This window comes from Homo sapiens, chromosome 5 (genome assembly GCF_000001405.40).
Source record: "Homo sapiens chromosome 5, GRCh38.p14 Primary Assembly".
Lineage (NCBI taxonomy): Eukaryota > Metazoa > Chordata > Mammalia > Primates > Hominidae > Homo > Homo sapiens.
The window spans coordinates 137,244,688-137,267,900 of NC_000005.10; the positions used below are offsets into that span (position 1 = coordinate 137,244,688).

Here is a 23,213-nt window from a genome sequence, read left to right on the forward strand (position 1 = left end):
CTCACACCCAGAAAAAAAGGAACTGGGGCTACCAAACATATTTATGACTGCAAATAACTCCACAAGGCAAGGTGCTGGGCACCTGCTGGTACCTGGGTGCCCTTTTTCCCACCCGATGCTCTCTGCCATGCCAGTTTCTGTCACCTTGGCCTAGTGCCCTCCAACATAAGAACCAAAGATCCAACCCCCTACAGGGTGGGGAGGGCAGACTCTTTCAAAGATCTTTGCTGGTTTTTAAATACTAATTTTATTACTTACCAATGTCCAGGACAAAGTTTACCTCTACCTAATAAGAGAAAATTGCTCATAGAAATGGTTGAAAATTTTAAAGGTTGATTTTAAACTCTGAGTAATTCAAAATAATCCTCTACAGATTTGAATAAAAAAGATAATGACTCTCTCCCTCCCACCCCTATCCTCCGCAAAATTAACAAGGTATTAGTGAACATGACCACGTGTCCCACTAAAAGGAGAAAATAAATATTATTGGCATTAAGCTTCCAGGTGAGAGCTAACATAATTAATAGTAAACACATCATATTTCACTAGGATTCTCCTTGATGCCAGTATTAAAAAAATCAATCATCTTTTCAACTTAATAGCCAATCTGAAAAGTAATTTGAGAAAAATAATTGGTTTTAGAAACACATGGATGTAAGTGTATCTTTCTATGACTTTCTGGAACTTTACAAGGCCATTCCTAGTACTCATATAACATTTATAAGAAATAATTATACCTCAAATGATTATTATGCCAATTGTTGGTTCTAATCAATAGTTAAGGACATAGCAGAGGAGGGAATTCATTAAATATTCAATATTCCTCCTTAAAAATGAAAGCAAAATTGAGGGCAATAAAAGCATCAAAAACTTAGCAGAGTCAGAAAAGCACAAGGTCCAGATGAAAGTGCCCAGGCATGGAGGGCTTCCGCTTTGCAAAGGTGCACAGAGCATTCTGGAATTGAATCACAGAGACATCCACAACCTCAAGTCTCAAGGGATGTACGGTTAGATGGCCCAATCATGAATTCTCTGCAGCATGAATTTTCTCACAGCTGCATTTGTTAAAAAAACAAAACAAAACAAAACAAAAAAAAAACAAAAAAAAAAACTGTCTTGAGATATTCTTTAAGCATGGGATCCATGATTAAATAAGTTTGGGAATCACTGTATATACTGCCTGTCTATTAACATATAAAAGGCTTTGAGAAGTCCAGCAAGAAAGATATCTACCTAATGTTTAAACTAATGTTGTCCCAGCTTCTCTGACCAACATGCATGCCTATAATAACTATAACACCTATTAACAGGACAAGGACCATCTTTAGGAAAGGTTTCTCTCTGGATTTCTTAGTTGTCCTCTATGTCCTACTTGAACAGTTAGTGATGGGATGTCAATCCCCCTACAAGCAGCCCATCATTATAGTCAACTCTATCTACTGAGAGGAAACAGCAGAATGGACACACTTCAGGTTTTAAAGTGAATCTGACCAATATTTGAATTCTCACTATCCACTTAATCACTGTGTACCCTTAGCAACATTTTTAATTACCTCTGAGATTCAGTTCCATCATCTGTAAAGCTGGGGTAATAGTAACCATTTACTATGATGCTGTAAATCTTAGAGACACTATCTATAAAGTGACCAGTAAACTGTCTGCCATCTATTACTATTGTCATTAGGATATGACATTTCCTTCTATCAAGATAAAGTTGACCTCCCTATAACCTACATCCATTGAGACTAGTTCTACCTCCTGGAATCAAACATAACATATTTTCTCCCACTCCCACTTATTACATTGGCTTTTCCCAAATTAAACATCCTCATTTCAACTTTCCATCAAGGCTTCCAGAGCTTCCACTGCCATCTCCACATTTCACTGCTTCTCATATCTCCAATTTTGCTATTCGCTTTGTAATGATAGACTCTAAATTTGATGGCCCTGACAGGGGTAAGGACAGTGTGGCCTGAGGGGTCTTCACCCTTGGAATCTGCCATGAATGACCACTCCCACCCACTACTCTAGATCTCATTCTGTCACACATTCAGCCTAAAATTGTCCAAGCAACCTTGCCCAACATGTGGCCGTGGCACATGAGGGGTAGAAGCAAGAACCCCAAAACAAGCTGAAAATCACAGAGTGAGTTTCTGACAGCTGCAATGAGTCACATGCCTGGAGCTTCTGCTACACTGGTTCTTCAGGTAGGTCTTTAGATTACCTAAATCCGAAGCCCCATCCCAGACCTGCTGAATCTAATCTCCGCGGGTGGAGCCCAGGATCAGCATTACAGCACATACCCTCACATGTCTTCAGGACACTTCTGTACCACAACCCTGCAGTTTGGAGGACATCTAAAGTTGAAGTTCACTCAACCTGCAAAACTGTCTGAAGGATGAAGAGACATCAACCAGGGTAAAGAAGAAACCACGGAGGGAAGGCAGAACATGGCAGGCAGAGGCTATGAACAAGGCATGGATAAAAGGCCCATGTGCCAGAGTGAGGAAAGGGCAGAGGAGGGCACTGTGGAGGGGAGCTGGAGATGAAAATGGGTGCCTGGCCCAGGGCCTGGCAAGCAGCAAGCTCAGTTCTTGCACCGAGAGCTGGAGGAGCTCTTCCAGGTCACTCAGTTCTGGTGCAGGTCAGTGGCAAACATGCCAGGTTTAGACTCCCCCTTGATTCAGATGCCACCAGCCATGCAGAAATTATGGCCTTGCTATGGTGAGTACCCATATCATCCTATGATTATGGAATTAATGCAAATTGTGTGATTTCTTTGCAATCTGTCTTCTGCTTATGTATCCATAATCAACCATAGTGCAGAAAACATAACATATATCTCTTCTGGACCCCAGCTATACAACCGATTATCACCAAATAGATTTGCAGAGCACTTTAAAAAAAACTGCTTATCTTGTCGTCCATTTTGTGTTGCTATGAAAGAATACCTGAGACTGGGTAATTTATAAAGCAAAGAAGTTTATTTAGCTCAAGGTTCTACAGACTCAGTTCAAGGGCATGGCCCTGGAGTCTGGTGAGGGCTTTCCTGCTGCATCATGACATGGCAGAGGGGGTCTAAGGGGAAGACAGGAAAACCTGAGGGGGTGGCCTGGCTTCATAACAACCCGCTGTTGCAGGAACTAATCCATTTCCACGAGAACTAATCAGTCTCACAAGAACTCACTACCTGGGTAAAAGCACCAAGATATTCACGAGGGATCTGCCCCCCAAAAACCCAAACACCTCTCATTAGGCCCCACCTCCTAACATCGAAACATTGGGGATCAAATTTCAACATGAGCTTTGGCTGCGACAAACAAACTTATCTAAAATATAGCAGTTTTAGATAAAAGTTTAGATGCAAAAGGCTTTGGGTTAACTGTTCTTACCTATTTCCCTACACATAACTTAGAGGTGAAGGATTAGCTACCAACAAACTTTTAACATTAAAAATAAAATTAACTATTCTTTTGATCTCATTACTAAGTGAGGAAATATAGAGAAGAATATACTTTCTAAGCCCTCTTTTCCCTTAAAAATCTATAGCATCTTAATCTTTACACCCTACTACTTAGCCCCTGATATTATAAAGCCTTAATATATCTTCTATTTTATGTGTATGTATCAAATTCATTCATTGATCTGTTCAGTTAGTCAACATTTGTTGAGCACCTTTCTGCACTTGGGTCATATAGGTGTAAGTGACCCACCATCCTGTCCTCGAAACCCACAGTCTGGCAGAAACACCTGTTTCTATGTCTAGCTGTGAAGCAGAAGGCAGAAGCAACAGCTACTTCTGTGGCTCCCTCAGAACCATTCATTGATCTCTATCATGCAGTAAATTAATACTTACAAAATTTTGAGATGACTGGTGATCAAAAACAGTTTTGAAGTCAACTCTGTGTTCAAAGCCTAGCCCTACCATTTCCTCGTTCTCTGACCCTGGGCCTCTCTGAACCTCAGTTTCCGCATCCGCACAGATAGAGATGAGTGAGAATAGTCCCAGTCTTACATGTTCATCATGCATATTCAAAGAGATGATTCATATAAAGGGCTTAGTAAAGAAGCTGGAATATAGCCAGTGGTCAAAATCAGTAGACATCAATTAATGTATAAGCTATTAACAATTCTCCCTTAGGCTTTGAGGAACATTTACAGAGATTATGGTTTTCACAAAGCATTGTTCCTTTCCCATCTGAGAATCTTGGCCAAGGAGGCCCAGAAAACATTTCTTATGTTATCAAAGATAAGTTGACTTTTCCTTTAAACAGATGTCAAAGATCATGATGAGATCTGGAGCCCAAAACCTTAGTGTCACCGTGTATTAATTCTCTACAAACTATTTTGAAGATGAAACACAATCTATTTTCTCAGCAAACAGAAAACAACAGACAACTGGAAGCGTTAAAGGAGGCAGGAAGGAGTCAATTTTCCCATCAGCAATGCTATTCTTTGTGGACATTCATGGCTCAGGCAAATAACTTGCTTGAGAGTTAATGTAAGTAAAACATTAATTATCAAAAATGCACATTTCCTTTGATGTAGTGGTTTCACTTCTAGGAACTTATCTCACAGAATTATTTATAGATGCATGATAGATTTAATTACAGCATATTGAATGAACTATTTTTGGTAATAACCAAAAACTAGAAATAAATCCAACAATGGAATCATGGTTAAATAAATAACAGTATTTCAGAAGTACACGACACAGAATACTATGCTATAAAAATTATGTATCAATAGACAAATTTTTATGGAGCACTAAGATGTATTACATGAAAAGGCAAGTATGCAGTTAAAAATGAATATGCATACATACATACTGATATATTTACATAGCCAACTTCTAGAAGGATGCAAAAAGGCTATTAAGAATAGTTATCTATGGGAAGAATTATTAGAGATAAAAAGCAACAAGAGAAAGAGTTTTACTTTGCCTTTTATGTACTTTTGAAGTATTTGAATTTTTATGCTATGTGCATGTTTATTTTACCTAAAAAAACTTTACAATTCCAAGCTGTCAGTTCAAAAGCCAAAATGCCTTCCCAAATTATAAGTAACACTGAGCTAAAAAGAAACACATCCAGAGGAAATTACAATTAGACATTCCTTGAAAAATTTGACAATCTTCAAGATAAAGGCAAGTAGTATTTTTAGTACAGATTTTTTTTTTAAGAAATAAACAGTTGACAATCAGCTACTCTTCTTATTATGTGCGGCATAGTATAGCAGAGATTAAAACCTGGTTGAGGAGACACACTTGGATTGGAAACTTGATTCCAGGTGACTGTAAATCAGGGGTCAATAATCTATGGCCCACAGCCAAATCTGGCCTGCCACCTGTTTTATATAACCCATGAGTTAAGACTTCTTTTTACATTTTAAAGTAGGTGAAAAACTTAAAACAATATTTCATAACACATGAAAATTTTATGAAATTCAAATTTCAGTTTCCACAGATAAAATTTTATTAAAATGCAGCCACACCCACTCATTTGCATACTGTAATGGCAGCTTCCCTCTACAAGGCCAAATTGGGTTGTTGCAGCACATATGGACCCCAAAGGCCAAAAATATTTATTATCTGACCTTTCACAAAAATAAATTTGCTGATTCCTGCCCTATAAACTGACTTAATTGAGCCTCCATTTCCTTTCCTGTAAGATAGGTACAATAATAGATAGCCTCAACTCCACAGAGCAGTTATGAAGCTTGAAAGTAATGATGTATGAAATGCTCAGCACGTACTAGTTTTTTAATATTACTTCTCACATTTTAACATTGAAATCAGGATTTTTTTTAACAGTCAATGGCATGTCTGAGTCCGTTCATAGAAGTGGGGGAAGCCCCACTGCACAGCCTCCCTGAATGCTCCCTCAGCTACATCCTCCCCACTGCCTGCCAACACGAGCTGCTTGCCCCTGTGTGCAGAGGCTTGGGAAGCTGAATCTTTCCAAGAGAGCCTCAAGAGGACACACGGATGGCTTCAGTATTCAGGAACAGGCTGTATTATGCTACGGAGAAAGGAAGTAAATGAAAGTAGCCTCAAAGGCACATCATAAGAGGGAGTACCAGGGATATTTACTAGTCCACGAAGATCAGAGCAAACAAATGTTCCAAGCTGGATTACTTGGGCTAAAACTGTACAAATCACACTTGCCTGTATTAGCTCACTGATTCTTCCACCAATTCAGCAAGTTAGGTAGCAACACTCCTATTCTACAGACCCAGAGAAGTCTGGGACATACCCTACACACCAGCTGATGGCATAGCAACACCAGAAAGCGGAGTCTCAGCTTCTTTCCACCTTACCAGCATTTTCTTAAACTTGAGCTTGCATCAGAATCAACCAGAGGGCTTGTTTCAACATAGATTGCTGGCCCCCACACCCAAAGTCTCTAATGCAGCAGGGTCTGAGGTGAGGATGGAGAATTTGCATTTCTAACAAGTTCTCAGGTAAAGACCACACAGCTGTCTGAGGGCCACGCACTGCAAACCAATGAATTATATCACTAAGCCACTGAAAACGTAAAGTCCTCACCCCTCCTCATCTTTCACACCTCCTATTCCTCAAAGTGAATCCCAACCAACCTCACCCACACAATAAACTATTTTCTTGTTGTGTTGCCTGTTTGTTTTCAGGAAAGCAATCATACTTGTCTTCCCATTGTTGTCTTGATGGGACTCACTGCAAGACTAGGAGCCAGGAGACTGCAGACTAGTCCTGATCGGCCAGTAACTAGCTGGGGGGTTTTTGGCAAGTGACTTCTCTCTAGCCTTGGTTCCCCCTGTGTGAAGTGAGAAAGCCACATCAGATTATTTCCAAGAGCTTCCTTATAGAACACAAGGCTGATGCTCCGATTTGACAGAGCAGCCTCCCTGCCTGAGTGGTCACCTTCAATCCATGAAACTCATAGATGGGTTCCCCTCAGTAATGAATGAACTAAAGAAAACTACTGGGTGAGACCTGTTTATGTAGGCACCAGCAAAATGGTGCCACAGATGGGCTTTTAGATGCCTGCATGAGAGAGCTCACAGTAAAATGTTTAGATAGACAGCATAAAAAAATTATAAAGCAAAAAGTAAATTCCTCATACCCCTCTCAGCCCATTCCTCAGAGATAATACATTACAATTTGGTACTGATTCAGGTATTTTATATGCAAATACAAGCATTTGTCAGATACATACTCTGACATAATTAGGATCGTATTCGACATATTATTTGCTTTTTTATTTTTCTTCGAGACAGAGTCTTGCTCTGTTGCCCAGGCTGGAGTGCAGTGGTGCAATCTCAAGCTCAGCTCACTGCAACCTCCACCTCCCAGGTTCAAGCAATTCTCCTGCCTCAGCCTCCTGAGTAGCTGGGATTACAGGCACCTGCCACCATGTCCAACTAATTTTTGTATTTTTAATAGAGATGGGGTTTCACCATGTTGTCCAGGCTGGTCTCAAACTCCTGACTTCAGGTGATCCACCCGCCTCGGCCTCCCAAAGTGCTGGGATTACAAGCATGAGCCACTGTGCCCAGCCTAATTCACTTTCTTAATTACAATTCTCCCATCTCCCCCCATGCTATCTGGAAATTTATACCAGCAGGATAATTTTCCATTTGGTACATTTGAAGAATCAAACTCATAGAGGAGAGCATGGTTCTAAGAAAAATGGTACACATATAGAGCAATACAGAGCAACGGAGAAAAACGTGGATGGCAGTCATGATCACACAGCAGCCACTGAGAATATTGTATGCAAAAGTTCCTAGAATATTGTATGCAAAAGTTCCTACAGCATGAGTTACTTAATGTCAGGCATTATCTTTCCTGACTGATCCCTGCCCTGTCATACTTCAGCCTGAACATCCCTGCAGACAGAAACAGTTCTTCCTCTTTCTCTTCCAGGGCAGGCCAGCTCATTGTTGACCAGATATAAACACTAGGCACATAGTTTCCAAACACATAATAATGCCTCTTCATCTGAGAGTGGTAGGGCCTTTTCTTTGGTGTCTGAGATAGCATGATGTTCTAAAAATGTAAGAAGTTGTTACTTGATACACTAACAAAACTACAATTAATCTGGCATGCACTTCAATTTTCAAACAACATGAGCTAAGTCAGAAGACAGGAATCCCTAAGAGCATGCCCTTTGGGGCTGTGGCATGGATCTGTGGATACGGCTCCACACTTCGAAGCTGGACAACAGCACACTGGTAGGGACACGCATAGGAACTTGTAGGGATCTAACCTACCCCTCCAGGTCCTCGGTGGTTACTCTGTAAAGACAATGACTTCCTATGCCATTCTTTATTCACCCGCTACTTGCCTCCCCAAGCACCTGAATGTCAGGCAAAAGCACTTCCTTTTCTAGAGGACAAAAATCCCTCTACATGAGCCTCACAGTGAGAAGTCACACTGCATTTGGAAACGTATGTCCGCATCTACAGCTCTGGATAGACAAAAGAGGGCACCAACATCATTTATTCCCCTGCTTTTCTTACCAAAGACAATAGAATTCACTCAGAGCAATAGGTTAGTTCTAAATTCATGAAACTGAAGCTCTACAATGAGTGGGTAGGTTGCTTTTCTTTACTAGGAACACCCAGTAATTCTGCCATTTTTCTTTCTTACTCCCTTGTATTTGCAATGAATGAGGCTTTGATTGTAAAAGATTGACCTAATTTACTTATTAGATATTCTTGCAAAGCTGCATAGACATAACTTTGGTAAACTGAATCTACCTCAGACATACCAATTAGGCAGGCTGTTTGAGGAAATTCTATGGGGAGTCATTGTATAAAACAAATTATCACCTCTCAACAGTCCTGCCTTATCACAGAACTGCCTAAACTCAAGGTCAGAAACAATCTCAATAGTATCTCTGTCCTCATCCAGTGTTCAATTTCCCCGACATCAAACCAGCCATGTGGCTGTCTACTCTTACATGTACACATCCCAGGAGCGGTGTCTCAGTCTCCTCCATGGCAGCCTACCCCATCCTCACACAGCTTGGGATATGAAAATGCCATACTTGGATTGAGCCAAAAGCCATCCCTTTGCAACTCCCACCCTCTAATTCTAGGGCTACCCTATGGAACCAAATAGAATCCTCAACTCCCTGTGAGCAACCTACAAATATCCAGGTATGGCTATTATGTCTGAAGGAGTTCAAATGTCCACACACTGCACCAGCTTATGTTGAGGCTGCCCCCAGTTCTAGGTGTCCCACCATGCTACCCCTGCTTTTAAAACTATTCATAAAGCATTCGAAACCATTTCTGGGTGAAGGAATCTGTGCCTTGCTATGAGAACAGAATGATGAATGCTCACTCTTAATCTGACAGTATAATTTTATCATTACAAACTGGGAATTTCTCCTCCTGCCTAATCACTGGTAGAAAGAACAACTCAGGATTGACCTCGCTAAAAGCAAAAATCATAATTATTAGCAGATGCCTGACAACATTTACATGGCTTATATCCAAAAATTATATTTTTCCCAAGGGTATATTTTTCTCCTACAAATAATTTTATCTTAGCAGGGTCACCGCAAAGAGATGTGGCTTAAAATTAGGCATTCTGTGGATTTCTATTGGTATTTTTTATGGCTGTTTCATAATACCTGCTTGAAAACATTACAAAATGAAACTCCTGTATGTACGCACTGTGGTAACGTGCCCAAATTCTTCCACCATGAGAAACCCTTTCCACTGTCAAAAAAAAATTTATAAACTCCACCTCCCCTTGACCTCTCCAAAGATAGCTATCATACTAATCATTCTGTTAGTTGCTGAGAATTTTATAATGACAAGATCTAATATGGATTTGCTAATGTCTTTAAATAAGATGTGGATTTTATTGAGCACATCAGCATCCATACGCGTTTGAGAAACATATGTAAATATGTACGTATGTGTGCAAGGAAAGCATTTCCCACCCGTGTAAAGCCCACACTACACTGTGAAGCTCCACATAACACTGCCCTTGGCTCTGGTGGCCTATAGGGAAGAATACTGACATTCTTAATCCATCATTTGCCTGTGGGGTCGAACTAATCTACAGTGTTAGCATGGAGGAAGGTAACTATGCAGTCAGGCATCAAAGCTCTAGTTTGGATTCTGAATGTCTAACCAACAAGACTGGCTCTGCCTGCCACTTGGCTGAAGAGAGAAGAACCATATGCTTCCATTAATTGAAAGCACAGATCATCTGAACTCCTTGTTCCTGCCAGGAAAAGCCCAGAACTCTCTGTTCCCAATGCTAATCAGTTACCAGCAACAAAACAATCAGAGTATTCCCTGATGGAGATGCAGGCCAACCATTCTTCCTGATATTGTCAATTTCGTCCATGTATCAAGCCAGGCCTTTAGAAGACAGTGCATTCTGAATTATTGAGTTAACTTATAGAACTGTACTTTGGCACTAAGCATCATTGTATACTGAAAGATCTTGGATGAAGTAATCATAAAAGCTTACTGGGGTATTCACTGCTAGATACTGGCGGGAACACGGGCCACCCTGACAAACCCCCTTCTGAGAACCCACAGGAGGAAAGCATCTCTGGCCTCACTACTATGAATACCTGTATTTCTCCTGAATACCAGCCTCGTTTACACATCATGGGAACATAGTGCTCTGTGTGTCCTTCTCTGCTTTGTTAGGAAGCTCTGAGCCCAGTTACAGAAGTATACAGAAACTCACTGCGCATGTGATGGAGTAACAACATACATAGCATGGCTTTGCTATGCCTTTAATTTACTTATACTCAAATGTTTTTTCTTATACTCAAATGTTTTCATCTATTCGTGTTATCACTTGACACTTACATATGCCTACAAGTTGTTTTTTGGTGAATGAGGCAAAGACAAAAACAAAAAAAGACATATCGGGTTATCATGTATTTGGTTACAGATTCAAGGACCACTGAGTGACAGTTCAAGTAAGTTCCTGCAGGGAAAGTGAGCATTCATGGACGTGAAGTGAAGGCAGGAGGAGAACTCAAGTGCATTGATTACCATATATTGAAGTTAGGAAGGGAAAGGGGGAGCTAGAGCAGAGTTCAGGGCAAGGGCCTGAGAGTGACACAACCCTGGGCAAATTTAGGACCTGAATGTCACAGTGGCTCCAGTGGGCTCAGAGGATAATTTTTCACCTAATTAGGGATTGTCTTGCCTTGGCAATGACTGCAACTAACATTTTCCACCTTCTCTAGCCCTTTCTACCATGAATTTTGGAGCCAAAGAAGAAGATGAGCAGTGCAGGGCCATCTACTGTACACAGCACCCATCCTCTGCTAAGCGGTTCCTCCTGGCCAGGCTGCCAGTGCCCATGGAATTACCCACACCCTCCTGGCAGCAAGGAAACTCAGCACCTCACATCATCACTCTTGAGATCACATGGGTTCCACTTTTGTTCTTTGGGAAGTGGCATATGTTTCTAAATCCTGGTGGCACCATATTCTGTATGGATTTTTGAGTATGAGACTTGTGCATGTGTGCATGTATGAGGGCATGGGCTGTGTTTCCCTCTTTTAAAGGCTAAACCACTCCATCTCCAGGTGATGGAGGCCACACAGAAATAGCAATTCAGGCTCTTAGGCTTATTACAAGTGGCTTTAGGCCTTGTACTGGTCCACTGTGTGCTGCTGTAATAGAGTATCATAGACTGGGTAATTTATAACAAACAGAAATGTATTTGGCTTATGGTTCTGGAGTCTGAGAAGTCCAAGATCAAGGGGCTGCATCTGGTGAGGGCCTTCTTGTTGTCTCAGGACATGGGGGCAGGCATCACATGGTGACAGAGGGCAAGAGGTCAGACTCACAGCCTCAAGTCCTTTTACAATAGGTAGGCATGGCTCCATTCGTGAGGGTGAAGCCCTCATGACCTAAACAGCTCCCCTACGCCCCACCTCTCAACATTATTGCATTGGGGATTATGTTTCCAACACATGCTTGTGGGGGGAACACATTCAAACCACTGCAGGCTCCTGTGGTCTCTGAGCACAGTCCCAACAAAGACAACTTCTGCTCAGGCAGTCTGTCCCCAACTCTGCGAGGCACTGCCTCCACCCCAAGGGCTACGCAGCTGCACCAAGTCAGAGGGACCCCAAGGACGCATCAACCTCCAGCGCACGCGTGCCACAAGCAAAAGACAAGAAGAGAAGCCACAAACAGCCCAAAGGCACATTTACCGTCTTGCTGTATTTTTTTAATAATTGATTTTCCAGCATTGAAGAATTAAGTTTCACACACAAAAACAAATGTTCATTTCCAGCTGCTTTTGAGCAATCCGTAGTCCTTACAATGCTGACCCAAGCCCTCATAACCATCGTCAGCTAGAGTTGGGTCAGGGCTGCTCTCTGCCAGTGGCATGGGTGTTAGTTTGTCCCAGTCCCACCACTCCCAGTGTTACTGCATCAGGCCCATCTTGCTATCTGCAATCCTGCTCTGGGTGTTTCAAGGTGCCTAGCAGAATGAGACTTGAGAGACAAAGGGAAAAAGTGAAACAGCCTACTAAAGTAATGACTGACATTTCCTTCATATCTCTTAACAAAAGTATTTTTAAAAGAAGCATCCCATCTGCATTGAACTGAATGTTTGTGTCCCCCCCCAAAATTTATGTGTTGAAATCCTTTCTCCAATGTGGTGGCATTAGAGGTAGGGCCTTTGGGTGGTGATTAGGTCATGAGGGTGAACCCTCTTGGATGTGATTAGTGCCATTATCAAAGGAACCTCAGAGAGTTCTCGAGCTCTCTTTCCCCCAACATGAGGACACAAGGAGATGGCCATCCACAACCTGGAAGAGGGCCCTCACCAGCACCCAGTTATGCTGGCACCCTCATCTCCAACTTCTGGCCTCCAGAACTGTAAGAAATAAATTTCTACTGTTTGTAGGCCACCCGGTCTATGGTGTTAGAACAGAAGCCCCAAAGGACTAAAGCATGATCAGATTTCACTTCTGCAGCACTGAGCGATAAGCTATCAAAAAACATTTCTCCCCACCAGATGCTCCCCTTCCTCTCTACCTCCAAACATCTGCCCATCTTCAGAAAGGCCCCAGGTCACCTCTTCTAGGATCCTTTTCCTGACCTTCAACCAGGAAGGGCTAATTCCTGGCCTGAGCCCCAACTCTGCCAGCTTCTGTCAGGGCACCTCAAACACATCCTTTGAGTGATTTTATTTCGTGTGTGTCTCTTGGCTCTGTAGACCACAAGCCCCCTGAGGAGAGCACTGTCACACTCCCCTCCACAGTCCTCACCAAGTCTGTGAGTTCTTGATTCAATGATTAACTGATCAATGAGCTCACACCCTTGTGGAATAGGCAGAGACATCAAAAACCACTAAGATCCTTCCCAATATGAAACACCAGAAGAAGACAGCAGTACTCTATCTCCTGCCAAAGCTTTCTTGCCTTTTTCATGTGCATTCTGAGATTGAATCAGGAGTTTTACCCCTCATGCCACATGTGTAATAAATGTCATAATTTCTATGTTACAGATAAGAAAACTGAGGTACCCACTTAGGTACACACAGCTATTAGAGGGAAGAGCTAGAAAATGAACCCATTCTCTGAGACTGCAAAGCCCCAGGGCCTTTCCACTATACCGCATTGCCTTTCATCAGGCATGGTTTCTGGGGCAGAATGAACATTTAACAGGTTTCCAGCAGTTAATTGCTACACAGTACAATTGAGGAGCTTAACAAAACAAAACCCCCATCTCAGGCCTGAAAGTTGTAGAGGACGCAGGTGATGCCTGCAGGTTTTTCTCCAAGCAGCCATTTCCTGATTGGGAAAATGCAATAATCCATTCTACATTCTCAAATGAGAAAAATTTAACAGCATTATTGATTGATTTTAAAATTCAGCTGACATTTTTTTCCCTATTGAGAATTTTCCCAAACCAAGGCTGGTTCATTAGGACTCAACAAGTACAATATAATTAATTCAGGGACTGTTGTTCTAGCAGGTGGATTAACAGGAAGGTTTTTTCCCTCCTTTTATACAACTAACACCACATTTTATGAGTTTGGGGAAAGGTAATAAACATGTCTTTAAAATGGATTCGTTCGTGCTGAAAGAACCTCTTAAACACAGTATTAGAAAGCTGCAGTGCCCCATAATTGTAGGGAGAATTTTACCACCCTTCATCATTCACTACGATTCCCTCCAAAGGGTGGAGCACAACCCAGAATGGCTTTTGCTCCTTGGTTCTAGGGGCACAGAGTCCTGAGAGCCCTTTGTGAAGTCAGGGTGAAGCCAGAACACAAACTCATAGCCGACCCCAGCACTCAGTGAGGAAATGGAACCTACACAGTTCCTGACAGAACTGACTGAGCAGGAAGAAACGCTCTTTGTAGAGAACATACCACATACCTACTCCTTGGCCCTTTGCAAACATGATCTCTCCACAAATGGCCTACAAGACAGCTGTGATTAGACCCACTCTACAGATAAGAAAACAAAGGCTTATAAATCATTCTACTATAAAGACACATGCAAACATATGTTTACTGCGACACTGTTCACAATAGCAAAGACGTGGAACCAACCCAAATGCTCATTAATGATAGACTGGATAAAGAAAATGTGGCACATATACACCATGGAATACTATACAGCCATAAAAAAGGATGAGTTCATGTCCTTTGCAGGGACCTGGATGAAGCTGGAAACCATCATTCTCAGCAAACTAACACAAGAACAGAAAACCAAACACTGCATGTTCTCACTCATAAGTGGGAGTTGAACAATGAGAACATGTGAACACAGGGAAGGGAGCATCACATACTGGGGCCTGTTGGGGGATGGGGAACTAGGGGAGGGATAGCATTAGGAGAAACACCTAATGTAGATGACGGGTTGATGTTTGCAGCAAACCATCATGGCACATGTATACCTATGTAACAACCCTGCACATTCTGCACATGTGCCCCAGAACTTAAAGTATAATAATAATAAAAAAACACTGAAAACAGATGAAAAGTAAAGACACATGAAAGTAAAAAAAAAAAAAAAAGAAAACAAAGGCTAGATAAGTCAAATGACTCAAATGTATACAATAAGCTTATGGGAGAGGCAAGATTTGATTTGAGCACTTTCAACTCTTGCTCTTTCCTCTACAGCTCACAGTGTCCCATAGGATTCTGTAGGAAGAGACTTCTTTGGCCTTTTTTCTTTTTATTCTGAGCCCTCTCCACCCTCGATAGTTAAAAGGCCCATTTAATTCCATTGGTTTTATTTCAGTTACAATATATTCATAACTCATTAGCCAAACTGTAACCTTTGAAATAAGAGCATCATGCTTCAAATTTTTCATTTTTCCTTTATGAGAAAACATATATGGAAAACTATTCTGCCTGAACTTAACTACCACAGCTCCCAAGGACTTCAGCAACTATCTCATCTACCCTTTTTATTTCAGAGATGGGTGAACTAAAGTCCAGAAAGGACATGTGATTTGCCCAAAGTTGCACATTTTAACAGTGGCAGAGCCATGTCCCACCTCAGCCCTCCTCCTGGCATCCCGCACTCTTCAGGCCAAGCAGTTTACATTTAAAAATACTAAGAAAAAGCAGCCCCAATAGCAAAACAGATGGAGTCAAGAGAAACATCCATCAGTGGGGGAATAATTGAATTAATTGTGATATATTAATACAATAGAATAGCACAATATAAAATAATTCATTAGATCTACAACTATCAAAAAAGTTACCTCAAAAGCAATGTTAAGTGGAATAAACAGATTAGAGAGGGAAACATTAATTTCTATTGTAAAATATATAATGTAACATTGCCTGTATACATATACATGACATAAAAACATAAGGACATGAACAGAAAAGCAAATTAATGATATGGTCACCTTTAGAGAAAAGAAAATGGGAAAGAAGAAGGGGCACCCATGAGATTCAAATTTTATAGCTGATGTTTTATTCTCTAAAATAAGCAAACAGGCAAAGGCAGACAAAGACAAAAGAGAAAACATTCAATTTGATCAAACATCAAGGCAGAGAGACTGAGTTAAAGTAGGAGCATACTAATATTTGAATTAATAGCTTTCTGTTTCTTCCCTGGAGTACTGAATTAGAATGTTTAAAAATCAATACTCCAAACTTTTTTTAAATAGGACTATCTTATTGTCACAATGAAGAAACAGAAGAAAAGATGGCAGTGGGAACAGGCTAATTAGGCTGGAGCCGAGTGTGCGTGTCTGGGGCAGAGAGCAGGTTAATGTGAATAAGATGAGTAGTTGCTGTTGGGGAAAGCATATTCCTAATTATGTGGAAAAGGCAAAGGTGAGAGGGAGAAACCAACCAGACCAAACATGAGCGAGCCAGGAGAAAAGTATTAAGATGCTTCCCACAAACGAGGCCAGCTGCCTCTGAAAATCCACAGCTCCAGGGATCAGATAAGGTGAACAAATTCTTAAAAAAACTGAAAAACTTTCAAGGCCCTATAAATGCTAATCAGAGGTTCTTTTAGGGTGAGGCTAAACTCCACATTATGAAGAAAGCTATGGGGACTTAAGATTTCTATTAAGCCTATTATGTAAATTTTCAGATTAATCTAGAGAAGGAAAACTCCCCTTCTATGGAAGATTTTTAGAAATAAGCAATCTTGACTCCCCAGACACCCTTTAAGACCTTGGCAAAACACAAATGCTGTGATAATCCACTGGGCTGGTGGTTCCAGAAACACAGCTGGAACATGAAAAGAACTCCCTCCTTTTGAGTTTTAGAATTTTTGCCTCAAAATAGTTCAGGGCTTTGGTCAGGATTTGAGTTTGTCAGGATCTTGGTATAATAGACTGGAAGTCAAAGGGTGAGGTCTTTCTTTTCTTCTATTCACGAGAACAGCATGAGTGAAAGGGGCCCCTGACTCTTTGAGTTTTATTTTTATCTGGAGATCAATTTCTACAAGTTCACATGCTGCTTTGAAGATCACCAGCAACATCTGAGGTTTATCTACAGCCAGTCTGCTCTGGAAGAATGATTAGTATTCACTCCAGAATAAAAAGCATCATCTTTAAAACCAATGTCTATACACTTTATCTAAAGCGTTCATTGATTCCACTTTAAAGGAACCCACTTGTCTCAGGAAAGTCCCATGCTAAATCTCTCCAGCCATTAGTCCTACAGTGGCTTGTCTCCTCTAGTGGAACTTCATAGCCAAATAAATTGGGGAGGTTCTTTCCTGAGTGCACCCTGGCTCCAGCAGAGAACCTGTTAGTGTTCCATCACTTTGAGACAACTTCATGTAATCAGAATTTTATTCTAAAGTAGTATAGTGGTTATATACATAAATTACCTTCCAAACCCTCCAGTGCACAAAAAATCCTTTTGTTCAGCAAAAGTACTATAAATAAGTTTCCATTTTCTTCTTCTAAAAGAACTAGTCAGGAAGCTTTGAAACACCTTGTTAGAATTCACTTTGCTGTATATTCATCCCCTATTCAATGAATCCCCAAAGCATTACCTTTATTTTATTTTTACAACAGCTTTGTGGTTCAATAAATTCTATCTTTCATTCCCCTCCAGACCCTCATCAAGTCATCTCACTTAAAGGCAAAAGATACAATCTTTGTGACAATACCTTTATTATTTGCATTGAAGGTAATTGTTACCAGCAAGTGTTGGTTGTACAGCATCAGGGAGCCTGGTCCACATACCAAAGGCACAGACTGCATAAGGCCAAGGCATAGCAAAAAACATCACCTCAACTAAAACTGACCTGTCACCTGTATAAACACTTGACATATTAAGGATTTCCCTGTTACCCAGACCAACTCTACTCACTTCCCTACCCCCCAGTAGGACCTTGGATGGATGTCTCTGAGGACTGATAACTGGGAGTGTCCCCCAAGAGACGTCTTCCTTAGTGTTGTCCCTATTATCCAGTTCAGTGCATTTAAACATCAGGCATTTGGTAACTGCTTATGGAATGAAGGAAGGAATGAACACATTAAGAGCCTGAACCTCTTCAGCTCCAATAATGGGGATCTGGAGTGTACCAGTACGATGCCCCAACACTAGTTAAGACAAGCCCGTGTCAGTGTAGCTCCGAGAGCTTCAGAGCATCACAACTTGGAAGGCCACCAGAAAGGAACAAAAGGAGAAGGGAATAAAACCAGAGTGGAATGGGAAGAAAGACACCAGGAGAGGCTGCTAAATAGGAAGAGAATGAAAACAATCAATGACTTGCTGATCACTTGTCAAGCACTTCCTATATGCCAGGCATATTAATTCACTTCATCTTCTCAGTGCTATTGTTGAAAGTACTTATCATTATTGCCATTTTCAGATAGGAAGATTTAGAATCAGAGAAGTTAAGCTACTTTCCCAGGATCACACAGCTAGTAACTGACAGAGTCAAATTCTAAACTTGGAGAATCTGACTCCAAACCCTAAGACCCCAGACTGCACTTACCAAAGTGTATCATGCCAAATACATTACCTCCTCTGAGTATCTGATAGGTGTGTAGTGGAAAAAAATTGAAAATATGGTCACAGGCAAATTTGGAAAATGATAGGTTAAATGGGTTTCTTTACTGAAAGACGCCTCAGAGTTTTTTAAGTTGATAATGAGCATGTGAATCTTCAAGAGATGAGGGTATATGTGTGTCCCTTATTTGACCATCAATGGTTTTCTTGGGGAAGCATCTTGCTGACCCAGATCCCCACTGAGAAGCACTAACCTCATATGCGCTCCTGAGTTTGTCAGGCGCCAGTTAAGGGAAGGTGCTGGCAAGGCAAAGTGGCAGAGGCAACCAAAAGCTCTGGAATCACCCCAGAGCTCTGCAGCCTCAGCCAGCCCTCTGAAGGTCCATCCGGGGGCCTTCATTTCTCCTGACTATGCAAGATAAGAAACCCATTTGCATTGGCCCATGGCTCTCTCAAACTGTGCAGTCTGCCCAACTCTCTCTGCACAGTGTCTTTCTTTGTGGACTTCACAAGCGAAATTTCTCACCTGAGTTAATCATTGCCTTCAATTCTGAACTCCTGTCCATCCTTTCTGTGAGGAGATTTGGCATTAAATCATTACAAGACAAAAGGATATACTACTTATGCCACTTTACCCTAATCTCAGGAAGAATTCTTAGAAAAGTCTGAAGTTGATGGCCATTATACTCCACTGACAGAAACATTAAAGATTCACTTAAAGATAACAAGTTAAAGACATTCTGAGTCTCATCATTGGAGAGCACCAGGTGAGATACTTTTCTTCTAACTGCCTTAGAGTCAATTACATGATGATAGCACTCGCTCCATGAAGCCCTGTTGTTCAAAGTTCAGTAAATATCTTTAAGCAGAGAAGCAATTACAGCTAAGTAACTATTTCTTGAATACTTTGAGTCTTCTAACTATTCACCACACCAACACGACAATCAGAAGCTGCATGGGCATTTCAGAGGTCAAGCTGGAGAGCTGAATTGATAAGTCTGACCACCGGTGACAGCCAGAGCCCAGGGCTCCAAGGCAATGAATGATGCCATGAAGAAGTTACCCAAGAGTCCTAGAGGAGTGACATCATTTAGCAAGTATGTTTTTGGGTTCCTAATTATAGCTGTTGTCACCAAACCAAATTCTCTAAAATACTGCCCTCATCATGTCACTCGCCTGCTCAAAGACTTTCTATGGCACCCCACTGCCAAGAAAACAAAGTTCAAATTTGGCTGATTGGTATGGAATGTCCCCTCAACCCATTTCAAATCCACCTTTCTGACTACACTATTACCAGAATTCTCTATGCTGGGCCTTCCTTCCCCTCCTCTCCCTCTATATTCCAAGCCTACTCCACACCCACCTCCATCATGAAGCCCCTTCCATCCCCATCCTAAACCATATTTGTCATCTGAAACTCTGAAGACACTCTTCAACAAGTTCCATTTCTACAAACTAAAACTTTTCCCTAACCACAAACCCATTTTAACTATGTTTGATTCTTTTTTCAGCTGAGGAGAGGAAATGACTCCTCTCTTTGGCTGTCATCTTCCACTGGAGTTCAGTAATTCTCCTAGTTTCTGGAAGATGAAACGCTCTACATCTTCCATGCCTGTGGTTTATATTTCACCAAGTGGTGTCAGCGCTGACAGAGTAACCTCCCATTTTTATTGAGCCGCACACAATGTAATTGATGACATCTGCTGGGGCTGATATTTTAAGTGAAGGCTATTCTCAGCTCTGCCTGTGCTCCTCATGGTTCTGTATATAAATAGCCAACGGCAGCTACCCCTGAGGTACAAAGTGGGGATACTCAGCTAAGGTCCTTAATTATATCCCATAAAGTCATAAGGTTTTCTGGGAGGGTTAATCTGAGCAGACCCAGTTTTCAAGCCTGCAGAGCTAGAAAAAGAGAACAGGATGGGGCTCTGCTGAATATAGCTGCCATCATTCCTAGGAGAGAAAAATCCTCGTTTGAACTGTTTACCTGCTCAGGTTTAAAGACGGTGATTTTGTGGTTCCCAAAATTTCTGTGTTAACTCCCAAACCAAGGGAAGCTATCATTTATATCCCAAGTGGCAAATGACACCTACCTTGATGTATTCCTTCTCCAATATGCATTAGTAAAAGTAAAAATGTCTTCCCTCGGGAGAGTGTATTCATTTGCAAGCTTTGGCAAAGAGTAATTTTTGACAGTTATTTAGGCAACATTTGATCCTTATAGCACAAGAACCTATTTCTAGTTCTTAGCTAAAAAGAATCAGTTCACAGTGACTGTCAATTGAGTTACCTTTGCAAGCAAAAGCCTGGTAGGGTTGTTTGCAGAAGGGCTTGTTTATCAGGCACAGACAGGGAATTTGTTGCTCTTTAACTACCAGTATTCTTCATAGATAAAGTTTTATCCTATTAAAAAGTTTTAAAATTTTTGATCACTTTTAATAAAACATTTCTAAACTAAGTTACAAATGCCTTCATATGCTTTTGAGTGAATCATTGTGATGATTCAGTCATTGTTAGGATTGTAGAAGAATAATTCCGTTACCACTCTAAGGCTGCTAAGATATGTATAGTCCAGATAGAGCCTCCAAAGGAAGGTTTTGCTGGACACCTTGCCCTTTACAAAAACATATACAGTTCTCCATCTGTAGATTCACATGCTTCCCTGAACACACCTGCATCACAGCCATTAACAGATCCCACCACAATTATTGACTGATTTATTTCCCTACTCCCCACTCTGAGCTCCTGTAGGGTAGGCACCACAGCATTTTTCTCTATCCCCAGTACCTGGCTTGGTGCTTGTGCATACAGCGAAAGCTCAATAAATGTTTGAGAATGCTAGCATGCATGAATGAAAAAATTGTTACACTACTTCAAAGCCTATGATAAATGTATATATGGCAATTTTAATACCATTTTTGCTTACGAGAAAACCAGAGTCCAGAGGTAGTGACCCATTAAACTGACCAAGCAGAGGGCAGAAAGGAGCACCTTCCTCCATGTCACATGTCAATGCCTCCCTCGATTTCTTCGTATCAAGTTGACCATCATGATCACATCGAATACTCACATTACAGAACTGAAGCTGATTCTCAGAAGAATGAACACTTTGAGATGTGGTAGGTAATACTGTTTCATTGTGTTTTGGCATTAATTCCATATGAACATATGAAGTGCAATCTACCATCATTTTCAACAGCACCACACATGGAACAACGGGGGAAGGGATGTGATTCATGGCAGGTCCTCACTGTGTCTTAAATAACTCACAGGAGGACACTGTTAGTGATTTACAACAGCTATCATGAGAGACTGGTTTGATGCTTGCTGGGGGAATGGGGGTGGAGAAAGCCTTCTGTGGGCCATGCTTAAACCCAAGTAGTCATCGAGCTAACTCTGAAACAGGCTTCTATTTAGAAACCATGAAGAAGTTATTTAACAAATAAAATCGCAGTACCCTTGACAGTCTCCCAGGATTAACCTTTTTCTAGAAAGAAAGTTTCATTGTTATGGCTCATGTGAATTAGGGAAGCATCTCCAGGCATAGTCTGTTCCATGAATGAAAGCACTGCATTCAGCCCCACAATTCACCATGTTAATTTGATAATCAAATTTCACTTTTTTTTTAAAACAAAACGAATCAATGATTATATTGGTCAAGCCAATTAAAAGAAATTGTTTAAATCAGCCCTAGATATAACCTCAGACAAATAACCAATTTGATAAAATAATTTCTATCACCCCAGTCAATTCAGTCCCCAAAGTCAATAAAATAACACCGCTAGCTGGCCCTTGTGGGAACATTAACTCAGCATGCAAGGAAGGAAAAATGAGACCACATTTACCACAGACTATACAGCAAGAAATATTGCATCCATTACCTTGGTCAAAGGGCTTGTTGGGATTCCAGTTTCTGAAATAATCATCCTATATAAGGAAAAAATAGAAAACAAAGGTCAGAGTTCAAAAAGCTTCTCACATAACTGCATAAAAACCTGCCTTCCTTTTCACCTCCCAAAACACAAAGGAAAACACTGAAAGCTTAGAAATTTTTCCCAAAACAGGCATTAATGTGTAATAAAAAAATATCAATTTCCTTTTCAAATTCCTGTCTTTCAAACCGTATGTATTCAATACTGGGAATAGTAAAAACATTTCAGCCCAGTATAGAAACAGCGCTGCTCTTCTTAGTTTGACATATAAACCCAGACACCTTCTAGGTGCAAGGTGTATTTGCTATCAATTATACTGTAGGTGATGCCTTGCTGCTCTCAGTTATGATTAAGCCTCTGTGTTTGTAACAGCTGATAATTCAACTGTCAACATTTCTTTTACATACAGACACGCATCTTGTGGTGCACAGTTCCAGTTTTTCAATACTCACAAAACCTAAAAAGAGACAGCCTTCCAAATGTTAGAATTAACCAAAGGCGTACATTTAGCTTAATACCATTTGTTCTGGGTATGGAAAGATGAAAAAACAAAGGCTGGCCAGTCTGGTCTCTTCATAACCATGTCTTTCCTGCATTTGGGTTGCATCAATTTATGCTCTGAGGCTAGGCAATTCATTACTTTAAAATTGCAAGGATCTCAATCACTCAATTCTTCACAGCTATGTTAACTTCTTCCCCACTCCTAATAACCCTTTCCTTCCTAACAGCCACCATGTACTCCCTTTATTCTCCCCATCAGCACTTTGACCCCATTGTTTCCTGGCACACCCACTGTATCAGCAAAACTGAACAGTTTGCAAGTTGAAGAGGTGTCACCCA

General features: G+C 41.0%; 1 protein-coding gene across 1 annotated transcript in view; it reads right to left on the minus strand.

Annotated features, from left to right (window-relative positions):
• The window catches only part of SPOCK1 (SPARC (osteonectin), cwcv and kazal like domains proteoglycan 1), a 524,029-nt gene that overhangs the window by 269,390 nt on the left and 231,426 nt on the right, over positions 1-23,213 (minus strand). The window contains exon 3 of the mRNA NM_004598.4: positions 22,323-22,368. Coding sequence (NP_004589.1) covers positions 22,323-22,368 — 46 coding nt within the window. The remainder of the gene's footprint in view (positions 1-22,322; positions 22,369-23,213) is intronic.